This window comes from Homo sapiens, chromosome 12, assembly GCF_000001405.40.
Source record: "Homo sapiens chromosome 12, GRCh38.p14 Primary Assembly".
In the NCBI taxonomy this organism is placed as follows: domain Eukaryota; kingdom Metazoa; phylum Chordata; class Mammalia; order Primates; family Hominidae; genus Homo; species Homo sapiens.
Window position 1 is genome coordinate 92,972,320 of NC_000012.12, and position 13,421 is coordinate 92,985,740.

Here is a 13,421-nt window from a genome sequence, read left to right on the forward strand (position 1 = left end):
AATGACTCAATGACTCAATCCAGTCTTCTTTTTTTTTTGAGACAGGCTCTTGCTCTGTTGCCCAGACAGGAGTGCAGTAACCCTATCATGCCTCACTGCATCCCTGAACTCCTGGGCTCAAGAAAATCTCTTGCCTCAGCTTCTTGAGCAACTAGGACTATAGGTGCATGCCACCACGCCTGGCTAGTTTTTTAAAATTTATTTTTTGTAGAGACAGGATTTCGCTAAATTGCCCAGCAATCCTCCTGCCTCAACCTTCCAAAGTATTGGGATTACAGGCATGAGCCACAGTGCTGTGTCCATCAACCCCAGTCTTCTATCTGTGTGTCTTTATGTTCTAGATTCAAATTTCTGGCTTCATTTGGGTCATATGCTCTTCATATGAGTGGGGTAGGGGGAGGATGTTTGAGACTTCAAAATACTCAAGACATCTGGATGCTTAATGAAGAAAAAAAGTTGTTACAGTGGGGCACAGTGAGTTCACACCTGTAATCCCAGCACTTAGGGAGGCCAACACAAAAGGATTCCTTGAGTTCAGGAGTTCAAGATCAGCCTGGGCAACATGGCAAAACCCCATCTCTACAAAAATACAAAAACTGGCCATGCATGGTGGTGTGCACCTGTAGTCCCAGATACTCGGGGGACTGAGATGGAAAGATTGCTTGAGCCTGGGAGGTCGAGGCTCCAATGAGGTGAGATAGCACCATTGTACTCCAGCCTGGGCTGAGATCCCGTCTCAAAAAAAAAAAAAAAAAGTTTATATATCTCAAAGAATGTGTGAGATATTAAGGGTCACTCCTAGAAGGTATATGGGATTTAATCCTTCCTGAACAGAAGAGTGGATGGGACCTTTTTCTTATAAAGACCTTTTCTTTTCTTGCTTTTTTTTTTTTTTTTTTTTTTTTTGAGAGATGGAGTCTTGCTCTGTCACCCAGGCTGGAGTGCAGTGGCGCAATCTCGGCTCAGTGCAACCTCCACCTCCCAGATTCAAGTGATTCTCCTGCCTCGGCCCCTACCAGTAGCAGGTACAGGCGTGCGCCACCATGCCCAGCTAATTTTTGTATTTTTAGTAGAGACGGGGTTTTGCCATGTTGGCCAGGCTGCTCTCAAACTCCTGACCTCAGGTGATCCACCCAGATCGGCCTCCCAAAGTGTTGGAATTACAGGTGTAAGCCACTGCGCCCAGCCCATGTTATTTTATTTATTTATTTATTTATTTAAGACAGGCTCTCACTCTGTTGCCCAGGCTGGAGTGCAGTGGCATGGCCATAGCTCATTGCAGCCTCGAAATCCTGGTCTCAAGCTTTCCTCCTGTGTTGGCTTCCCAAAGTGCTAAGATTGGGGAACTGTGAGCCACTGTTCCCACCTGCTATGAACATCTATGTCCATATTTGTACATGTAGACATAAGTTGTCAATTGCGAAATATGGTTAGGTAATGGTTGGACTGCAATTTTCTTAACTGACTGGAACTTGTAAGTCTCTCAGTCTTTGCTAAGGAGCTCTATGTGCATGTTGGAACTTGCCTTTAACACTCAGCCAGGCAGTTTTCAACTCTGACTTAGCATTCACTTCCTGCTAATATAGTTTCAAGATCAGCCAGAGGTGAGAGTTCAGGGCCTTCTCAATTCTTTCCTGAACTTGTACACAGCCCTGGGCATGCATATAGTTCTACTCATTTGTATTGCTTTCTTTTTTTTTTTTTTTTTTTTTTTGAGACCGAGTTTCGCTCTTGTTGCCCAGGCTGGAGTGCAGTGGCACAATCTCAGCTCACCTCAATCCTCAATCTCTGCCTCTCAGACTCAAGTGATTCTCCTGCCTCAGCCTTCCTGAGTAGCTGGGATTACAGGCATGCACCACCACGCCCGGCTAATTTTGTATTTTTAGTAGAGATGGGTTTCTCCATGTTGGTCAGGCTGGTCACGAATTCCCAACCTCAGATGATCTGCCCACCTTGGCCTCCCAAAGTGCTGGGGATTACAAGCATGAGCCACCGTGCCCGGCTTTATTGGTATTGCTTTCTAGACTCCCAGGAATCTATCACAGCATGTCAAAGCCCCCTGTGGACATCTCATTCCCCTTCTTTTCCTTTTTTAAAGTTTTTTCATTATTCTATTATTTTGCCCTCATGTTTATCTACTACCTCAGTGTAATCACCTAATGGGTTCCTCTTGCCTGCTGTCCAGAAAAGCGAATGCACTCAGAACAGCAGATTTATAAAGCAAAGAAGGAATTTAATAATTGCAGGTCTGGCCAAGTAGAAGCTACAAATCTTGTGACATCTGGCCACATGACTCTTGAGCAGTAATGCATTATAGAAAAGCAAGCTAGGGAACAAATGGCTGGTTATCATTTAACTGTACCTACATTTTAGCAGAAATCAGCTCTGCCCCTCACCATAATCCTAATCTTGTGGCCTTTCATTAGTCTTAAAAAGGTGGTTTCAGTTTTAAGGAGGAGGTCAGTTTTAGGGAGGTACTATTATCATCCTTGATGCAAAGTTAAACTATAAACTAAATGTCTCCCATGGTTAGCTTGACCCACACCTAGGAATAAGTGAGGACAGCCAGCCTGTGAGGCTTGAAACAAGATGGAGTCAGCTATGCTAGACTTCTTTTGCTGTCATAATCTTTACAAAGGTGATTGCATCCGGCAGCCATGATGTTAAACAATTGCCTCTAATTGTTTTTAATAAACCCCCATAGAGAAAAGGCTCTTTTCACTGCATGAGCTCCAACTCAAGTCAAACAATGACAACCTTGCAATTGGGGTCTTCCAGGGACCTATGAGACAGGTTAAATAATGACCATTCCCTGGGGATGGGGTTTTGAAGGAGCCCCAGTAACATTCTACCTTTCCAGTGGCTGACAGGCTGCTGGTTTCCACTGTGATCATTACAAATTTGTTGCAGCTTGTTGGTTTTGTGGCTTGTGGCTGCCTTGTTGCTTTTTAAGGCTTTCTTCGAGCTGCAAAAAGTGGGAATGGAAATAGAAAAAGTTAAAATGACACAAACTCTCCCTTTCTGAGTTTCAGTCACTTTTCTTGAATAAATATTCTCCAGATTGCTGAAAGCTTTTGATTTTCCAGAATTCTGAAAAAGTTGATTGCATAAATGTTTGAATCATTCTCATTGTTTTTATGGAAGAGAGAATATTGGGAAGGTCCTTACTCCACCACTTCACTGACATGACCTTATAAAAACCTTTTGATCTAAGAATAATCAACCATTTTATAGATTAGTAGTATTGTAGTGCATCTCATCCATTATCTAGTTTCCAAGCTGTATAAATTATGCTAATTTTTCTGCCCTTTTTTTTCTCTAAGTCCATTGTATTTCTCTTTGATGTTAAGTAAAGTACTTACTGATTCCACCTGATGATCAGATTGCCTCAGAGGACATCAAGCCATTCTAGCCAAGAGATTAGCTGTTTCACAAGCATTAAAATTAAAGGATGCTTGAAGATTGTAAACTAAGTAGTTTTAAGGTAGGGTTGCCAGATTAGCAAATATAAATACGGGACCCCCAGTTAGATTTTAATTTCAAGGCTGGGTGAGGTGGTTCACATCTGTAATCCTGGCACTTTGCAAGGCTGAGGTTGGAGGATCGGTTGAGCCCAGGAGTTCAAGATGAGCCTGAGCAACATAATGAGACTCCATCTATACAAAAAGTTTTTTTAAAAATTAGCTGGGCATGGCAGTGAACACCTGTAGTACCAACTACTTAGGAAGTTGACATGGGAGGATTACTTGAGCCCAGGATTTCAAAGCTGCAGTGAGCCTTGATCATGCCACTGTGCTCCAGCCTGGGCCACAAAGCAAGACCTTGTCTCAATAAATAAATAAATAAAATGAAATGTGAATTTCAGATAAACAATGACAAAATATTTGGGACACATTTACACTAATCATTTTCTTGTTGTTGTTGTCGCTTATCCGAAATTCAAATTTAACTGGGCATTGTATATTTGATCTGAAAGCCCTGTTTTCGGTGAAAAATAAACAAAACAATACCTGTAAAGTCATTCTCAGATGACTTGATGGTGATCCTTTCTTCTGTTTTCTTTTAAACCACTGTTGAAGCTCTTTTCTAGTCTATAAGAGATAACTAGTTTTGATTAATGTAGGTTTAGTTCTTTTATGGAAAAATATGTTAATTTGGCATGGTGACAATCCTGTCCATATTTCTTATACATTCAACAAGTATATTTAAGATGGTCTACTTATATATACTAATCAAGATTTGTAGTCTGTACAACCAGAATTTTAAGTTCAGCTCAGCTCCTAGGAAAATACATGTATAGAACAAATATGCTTATGAAAGACCTCTAGAGAGCCAGAACACTCAAATCAGGAAAACAAGCCAAATCAGTAAAGTCAAGGACTTGCAGGTAGATAGATAAATATGTAGGGAGAGAAAAAGAGAAACAGAGAGAGAGAGAGAGACATAAATTTAAGCAATTAAATACAATGGCACAGTTTATTCCATAATATGGAATTTATTATTCATTAATAGCAATCATTTACAAATCATACAAAGCATCAGTAATTTGGAATCTAGTTGTCACTAAGGAAGACAGGAACTCAAGAAAACTCAGATAAAAAAAAAACCCTCAAAATATGTGTTGTGAACTAAGAAAAAAAATCAAAACACCCTCCAGACATAGATAAGGCTTTGAAGAACCTCTTTGGGACTCAGAGGCAGCTTTTAACCCCCGGTAACACATACTTTCAATCCACTGTAGTCCTCTTACTTAATCATTCAAAAATAATTTCAAAATACCCTTAAGAAATTGAAACCCAGACATGACAGAATTTATATACTATTTCCAACTCTAATTGCTTTTCATATCTCTTCATTAACCATGTATTAATCAACTAGTCTGTGTCAAGCACTGTGCTATCACTCTATCTTTTCAGAATCAATTTCTCTTTGGTCATCAGTCAATCATTTTGCCTTATAACGACACTGGGCAGCTCTAAACATGGAAGCAAGCCCTGGAAGAGACCAATTTGATCACCAAATGTTTTCTTTCTCACTATTCTCACCACATCCCAGGTGCCCCCGTGACTGCCTTATTTCCGTTTGGCTTCTCTTTGAGACACTGCTTTGTTCCACTGTCTCGAGACTAGCAACATCATGAGGGAATCTGGTGTGGAGAGGCAGAGAGGAGTGTGTATGCGACACTGCCCAGCCCAGTTGCTGTCCAGGGGTGTCAAGTTGCCCTCAAAATATCACTTTGTGCAAGACTCAGCCAGGAGGAAATGACATTCTCAGCCTCCTACGTAAAGACTCAATCACAATACTTCCTTTGATTAAAAATCTAACCAGAATTCTCTACAGCTGCTTGATGTCCTGAGTGTAAGCTCTACATGGAGAAGAAAGCATCAAACATTCATAAAATGGAACTCATTTCTTTGCTTCCACCTGCTGCTCTGAGCAGCAGTAGCCACTCTGCACAGGCAGATAAATTGTGAGTTCTGAGAAGCTAAAAAGATCACCCATTCAAAACTGCAAATATCCTTACCCAAGCTACCAACTGTCTACCCCATCACCACCACTGTGGTGATCTGTTGACCAGATTTTCTGATACTGCCACTTCCAAGGTGATTAAGTCTGGGCAGTGGCAACAGTTCAATTTTTTTTTATTTTATTAAAGTTATTTCTGAAGATGGCCAACTAGACGCAGCCAGGAAGAGCATCTCCCGCCGAAAGACCAGACCATCAGGGAAACTGGGTACACTCTGAGCAGATCTTTGGAGATAAGGCATTGAGAGTGAATGCAGGGAGGACGTAGACCCCGGGCTGAAGGCAGAGGAAGCTGAGAACCATGCACAGGGCTGCCAAGCACCAGGACTTGTTCCTGGCCCCCAGTGGTTCCTTGGGAAGGGGTGAGTTAAACAGGTGGGGAGCAGCTTACTCTCACCACGGACCTACAGACTTCTAGTGCAGCAGACCCCATGACCCCCATTTGAGCTGGCAAGGAGAGCTGTTCAGAGAGGTGGCAGGGGCAGAACTCTAGCTTGTGTGGAGTCCAGAGGGTTTGGCATGAGAATGGCTACAGTGGAGCATGGCCAGGGAGGCCCATCCTTCAGGGCTTGCCATGCTCCTCTGGGTGGCTTTGCCTCTTGGTGACTGCCAGACCTAGACGAGCAGGGCAGTCTTCCCTGTGGGATGGGGCCAATCTAATCTGAGTGCTCCACTGTCAACCAGCTTCTTCTGGGGCCCCAGCCTTGCTGTGCTTGCTTGCAGCATAGCCTTGGATGCCCAATCAGGGTGCTTCCTGAGGGCCTTCATTTTAGCTCTTTCACTGGCAGAGCACTCTTAACCATTGGAGAATTCCAGCAGACTGACCTATGCTAAATGCACCCACCTGAAGCCTCCCTGAACCACAGCCTCCCCCTGCCACTTTACCTGTGTACACTTGCCCATGCCTGCCCTCATGCCAACACATACACACACTGCTTTGCATGTGTGTCTGCATGGGTGGAACCTACTTCTCTTTTCCCACGGATATGTGTGCGTGCATTCCACCACCCCACTGCCAGTGTGAGCATGTGCCTGGATGCCACCACCCTGCCCCCACCCCACCCCCACTAGTGCCCCACCTGTGCCACTGCTGCTGCTGAAATACACATGAGCACAAATCCTGTCATTACCACCACAACAAAGCACTTTGGCCAGCACTCTCCATCAGAGTTTTGTTGCCACCTAGCCAGGAATACTTCGACCCCCTACCAGCGCAGCAAGTTCTTAATCTCAAGGGGCCAAAGAACAAAGCTGGAGCCCTAGTACCAGCCCCACAGGGTTAGAACACACAGCTCAGGAGTGCTGAGCTGAGCCTTGGGCCCCTAAAATCTTCCAGAAACAAAGCCAGTCAGCTGAACCCACCTTATATCACAATCAAACCCTCAAGGATGTCAAAGAATATAAAAGCAAAAAACTCCATCCAAAGGACTGCAGCTTCAAAGGTTAAGGAAACATCAGCCCACACAGATGAGAAAGAACCAATGCAAGAAGTCTGGCAACTAAAAAAGCACCTTCTTACCTCCAAACGACTGCACTAGTTCCCCAGCAACGGTTCTTAACTGGCTGAAATGGCAGAAATGACAGACATAGAATTAAGAATCTGAATAGGAAAGAAGATCATTGAGATTCAGGAGGAAGTAGAAATCCAATCCAATGAATATTAAAAATCCAATAAGTCACCAGGCACTGTGGCTCCCACCTGTAATCCCAGCACTTTGGGAGGCCGAGGCGGGCAGATCATGAGGTCAGGAGCTCGAGACCATCCTGGCTAACATAGTGAAACCCTGTCTCTACTAAAAATAAAAAAAAATTAGCCGGGTGTGGTGGCAGGTGCCTGTAGTCCCAGCTACTCGGGAGGCTAAGGCAGGAGAATGGTGTGAACTTGGGAGGCAGTGCTTGCAGTGAGCTGAGACCACACCACTGCACTCCAGCCTGTGTGACAAAGCGAGACTCCATCTCAAAAAAAAAAAAAATTCCAATAAAACTATACAAGAGATGAAAAGTGAAACAGCCATTTTAACAAAGAACCAAACTGAGTTGATAGAGCTGAAAAACACTACAAGAATTTCATAATATAATTGCAAGTATTAACAGCAGAATAGACCAAGCTGAGAAACAAATCTCAGAGCTCAAAAACCAGTTCTGAAATCAACTGAATAAGACACAGATTTAAAAAAAATTAAAAAATTAAAAAATGAACAAAACCTTTGAGAAATTTGAGATTATGTAGAAAGATCAAATCTGTGACTCATTAGCATCCCTGAAAGAGAGACAGAGAAGGCAAGCAACTTGGAAAATATATTTGAGAATATTGTTCATGAAAATTTCCCTAACCTCACTAGAGAGGCCAACATTCAAATTCAGGAAATGCAGAGAGCCCCTGTAAGATACTATACAAGATAACTATCTCCAAGACACATAGGCATTAGATTCTCCAAGGTCAACATGAAAGAAAAAATATTAAAGGCAACTAAAGAGAAGAGGAAGGTCACTCACAAAGGGAACCTTCATCAGGCTAACAGCAAACCTTTCGGCAGGAACCCTACAAGCCAGAAGAGATTAGGGCCTATATTCAACAATCTTAAAGGAAAGAAATTCCAACCAAGAATTTTATATAAGTTTCATAAGTGAAGGAGAAATCCATTTCAGATAAGCAAATGCTAAAGAATTCTTTACCACCAGACCTGCTTTTCAAGAGGTCCTCAAAGGAGTGATAAATATGGGAAAAAGAGATCATTACCAGCCACCACAAAAGCACAAATACATAGACCATTGACACTATAAAGCAACTACACAATCAAGTCTGCATAATAACCAGCTAACATCATGATGACAGGAAAAAAGTCTGCACATATCATTAACCTTGAATGTAAATGGGCTAAATGTCCCACTTAAAAGGCACAGAGGCTGGGCACAGTGGCTCACGCCTGTAATCTGTAATCCCATCCTGGCACTTTGGGAGGCCAAGGCAGTTGGATCATTTGAGGTCAGGAGTTTGAGACCAGCCTGGCCAACATGGTGAAACCCCATCTCTACTGAAAATACAAAAATTAGCCAGGCATGGTGGTGCACATCTGTAATTCCAGCTACTTGGGAGGCTGAGGCAGGAGAATCAATTGAGCCCAGGAGGTGGAGGTTGCAGTGAGCCAAGAGTACACCACTGCACTCCAGCCTGGGTGACAGGGAGAAACTCTGTCTCAAAAAAAAAAAAAAAAAAAAAAAAGGCACAGAATGGCAAGTTGGACAAAGAAGCAAGACCCAACTGTATGCTGCCTTCAAGAGATCTACCTCACATGCAATGACATGGATAGGATCAAAGTAAAGAGATGAAAAAAAATCTACCAGGCAAACAGAAAACAGAAAAAAAGCAGGGATTGCTATTCTAATTTCAGGCAAAACAAACTTTAAACCAACAATGATCAAGGAACACCAAGGGCACTACATAATGGTAATGGATAATGGTAATGGGTTCAATCCAAGAAGAAGACTTAACCATCCTAAATATATATGCACCCAACAGTGGAGTACACAGATTCACAAAACAAGTTCTTAAAGATCTACAAAGAGACTTAACCCCATAATAATAGTGGGAGGCTTCAAAATCCCAATGATAGTGTTAGACAGATCAATCGAGGCAGAATAATAACAAAGATATTTGTGAGCTAAGCTCAACACTTGACCAAATGGACCTAACAGACATCTACAGAACTCTTCACCCAAAACAACAGAATATACATTCTTCTCATCTGCATATGGCACTACCTTAAAATTGACCACACAATTGGTCATAAACAATTCTCAGCAAATTCAAAGAAACGAGAATCATACCAACTACACTCTTGGACCACAGGATGATAAAAATAGAAATCAATACTAAGGAGATTGTTCAAAACCATATAATTATATGGAAATTAAACAATCTGCTCCTGGATGACTTTTTGCGTTAACAATGAATTTAAGGCAGAAATCAGGAAATTATTTGAAACTAATGAAAACAAAGATATAGCATATCTTTAGATATAACATATCTCTGGGACACAGCTAAAGCAGTGACAAGAGGAAAGTTTATGGCACTAAACACCCACATCAAAAAGTTAGAAAGATGTCAAATTAACAACCTAATATCACACCCAGGAGAAAAAAAAAAAAGAGCAAACCAACCTTAAAGCTAGCAGTAGAAAATAAATAACCAAAATAGAGCTGAACTGAGTGAAATTGAGACATGAAAAACCATAAAGAAGATCAACAAAACCAGAAGTTAACTCTTTGAAAGAATAAATAATATTGATAGACCACTAGCTAGACTGTGATGGTTAATATTGAGTGTCAACTTGCTTGGATTAAAAGATGCAAAGTATTGTTCCTGGGTGTGTCTGTGAGAGTGTTGCCAAAGGAGTTTAACATTTGAGTCAGTGGACTGGGAAAGGCAGACCTACCCTCAATCCGGGTGGGTACTATCTAATCAGCTTCCAGCTCAACCAGAATAAAAGCAGGCGGAAGAACATGGAAAGACTAGACTGGCTAAATCTTCTGGCCTCCATCTTTTTCCTGTGCTGGATGCTTCCTGTCCTCAAACATCAGACTCCAAGTTCTTCAGCTTTTGGACTCTTGGACCTACACCAGTGGTTTGCCAGAGACTCTCGGGCCTTCAGCCACAGAGTGAGGGCAGCACTGTCAGCTTCCCTACTTTTGAGGTTTTGGGACTCAGACTGGCTTCAATTGCTCCTCAGCTTGCAGACAGCCTATTGTGGGACTTCACCTTGTGATGATGTAAGTCAATACTCCTTAATTAAATGCCCTTTAATACATACATCTATCCTATTAGTGCTGTCTCTCTAGAGAACCCTGAATAATACCTAGACTAATAAAGAAAAAAGAGAGATTCATATAAATACGAGCAGAAATGTCAAAGGGGACACTACCACCTAATCCAAAGAAATAGAAAAACCCCTCAGTTTTTGTTCATAGAGGTGTTCACAATAGTCAGAACTATTATGAAATAAAAGGCATCCAAATAGGTAGGGAGGAAGTCAAACTATCTCTCTTCATAGGCAATGTGATTCTTTATCTAGAAAACCCCATAGCCTCTGCCCAAAGGCTACCAGAACTGATAAACAACTTCAATAAAGTTTCAGGATACAGAATCAATGTACAAAAATCATTAGTATTTCTATGCAACAATAACATCCAAGCTGAGATCCAAATCAAAAACATAATCCCATTCACAATAGACACAGACACACAGACACACACACACACACAGAGACACACGTATAACCAATACCCAGGAATACCATAGCTAACTAGGAAGGTGAAGAATCTCTACAACAAGAATTACAAAACACTGTGAAAGAAATCGGAGATGACATAAACAAATGGAAAAACATTCCATGCTCATGGATAAGAAGATTCAATGTTCTTAAAATGGCCATATTGCCCAAAGCAATTTATAGATTAAATGCTATTCAATATATAAATGTTTATATATTCATTGTTATTTTTCACAGAATTAGAAAAAAAACATTCTAAAAGCCATATGCAACCAAAGAAGAAGCTGAATAGCCAAAGCAATCGTAAGCAAAAAAAAAAACAAAAAAAAAACAAAGCTGGAGGAATCACATTACTCGACTTCAAACTATACTACAAGGCTACAATAATCAAAATAGCATGGTAATGGTACAAAACCAGACACATAGACCAATGGAACAAATTAGAGAACCTAGAAATATAGCCATATCCCTTCAACCATCTGATCTGCAACAAAGTCTACAAAAACAAGCAATGAAGAAAAGTCTCCTTATTCAATAAGTGGTGCTAGGATAACTGGCTAGCCATATGCAGAAGATTGAAACTGGACCCCTTTTTTTCACCATATACAAAAATCAACTCAAGATGTATTAAAGACTTAAATGTAAAACCTAAAGCTATAAAAGCCCTAGAAGAAAACCTAGGAAATACCATTCTAGACATAGGTCCTGGTAAAGTTTTCATGATGAAGACATCAAAAACATTTGCAACAAAACGAAAAACTGACAAACAGGACCTAATAAGTTAGAGAGCTTCTGCACAGCAAAACAAACAAACAATGGAGTAAACAGAAAACCTACAGAATGGGAGAAAATATTTGCAAACGATGCCTGTGACAAAGGTCTAATATGCGAATCTATAGGAAACACTATACACATATTAAGCAAAAAAATCAACAATCCCATTAAAAAGTGGGCAAAGGACATGAACAGACACTTTTCAAAAGAAGATATCCAACAAACATATGAAAAGATGCTCAACATCACGAATCATTACATAAATGCAAATCAAAATAAAAATGAGATACTGTCTCACACCAGTCAGAACGGGTATTAAAATAGTCAAAAAATAGGCTGGGTGTGGTGGCTCAAGTCTGTAATCTTAGCACTTTGGGAGGTTGAGGAGGGCAGATCGCTTGAGCTCAGGAGTTCAAGACCAGCCTGGGCAACAGGGCAAAACCCCGTCTCTACAAAAAATATTTAAAAATTAGCCAGGCATGGTCATGCCTGCCTGTAGCCCCAGCTACAGGCACGTAAGGTGGGAGGCCAAGGTGGGAGTATCACTTGAGCCTCAGAGGTGAAGGCTGCAGTGAGCTGAGATTGCACCACTGCACTCCAGCCTGGGTGAGAGTGAGCCCCTGTCTCAAAAAAAAAAAACAAAAAAACAAAAAAACAAAAAAAAACAAAAAAACAAAAACAAAACAAAAAACAGCTGGGTGCAGAGGCTCATGCCTGTAATCCTAGCACTTTGGGAGGCCAAGGCAGGTGGATCACCTGAGGTTAAGAGTTTGAGACAAGCCTGGCCAACATGGTGAAACCCTGTCTCTACTAAAAATACAAAAATTAGCTGGACGTGGTAGAGCACACCTGTAGTCCCAGCTACTCAGGAGGCTGAAGTAGGAGAATTGCTTGAATCTGGGAGGCAGACGTTGCAGTGAGCGGAGATCATGCCACTGCACTCCAGCCTGGGCGACACAGCAAGACTCCGTCTCAAAAATAATAATAATAATAATAATAACATGCTGGTGAGGCTGTGGAGAAAAGGGAATGCTTACACAGTGCTGTTAGGACTATAAATTAGTTCAGCCACTGTGGAAACCTGTTTGGTGATTTCTCAAATAATTTAAAACAGAACTACCCTTCAACTTAACAATTGCATTATTGGGTATATACCCAAAGAAAATAAATCATTCTATCATAAAGACACACACATGCATATGTTCATTGCAGCACTATTCACAATAGCAAAGACATGGAATCAACCTAAATGCCCATCAATGGTAGACTAGATAAAGAGGTGGTACATATACAGCATGAAATACTTTGCAGCCATAAAAAATAATGAGAGCATGTTCTTTGTAGAAGCTGTAGGTCGTTATCCTAAATGAGCTAATGTAGGAACAGAAAACCAAATACCACATGTTCTCACTTACAAGTGGGAGCTAAACACTGAGTACACATGGACACAAAGAAGAAAACAATAGGCACTGGAGTCTACTTGAGGGTGCAGGGTGGGAGGAGGGTGAAGATAGAAAAACTAACCATCAGGTACTATGCTTATCACCCGAGTGACGAAATCATATATACAACAAAACCCCGTGACATGTATTTACCTATATAATAAATCTGCGCATGTAGCTCTGAACTTAAAAGTTTAAAAACACAAAACAGCCGGGCACGGTGGCTCATGCCTGTAATCCTAGCACTTTGTTAGGCCAACGCAGGCAGATCTCTTGAGGTCAGGAGTTCAAGACCAGCCTGGCCAACATGGTGAAACCCTGTCTCTACTAGAAATACAAAAAGTAGCCAGGCATGGTTGTGGATGCCTGTAATCCCAGCTACTCGGGAGGCTGAGGCAGGAGAATTGCT

The 13,421-nt window shown here is 41.4% G+C and overlaps 3 annotated features.

The window, feature by feature from the left end:
* Window positions 1,340-1,540: a silencer, noted in NCBI's record as "peak1891 fragment used in MPRA reporter construct". NCBI's record gives its function as "represses an SCP1 promoter by STARR-seq MPRAs in K562 erythroleukemia cells {active_cell/tissue: K562}" and the evidence as "EXISTENCE:reporter gene assay evidence [ECO:0000049][PMID:32103011]".
* Window positions 1,340-1,695: a biological region, named in NCBI's record as "MPRA-validated peak1891 silencer".
* Window positions 1,426-1,695: an enhancer, noted in NCBI's record as "active region_6758". NCBI's record gives its function as "activates an Ori minimal core promoter by ATAC-STARR-seq in GM12878 lymphoblastoid cells {active_cell/tissue: GM12878}" and the evidence as "EXISTENCE:reporter gene assay evidence [ECO:0000049][PMID:35858748]".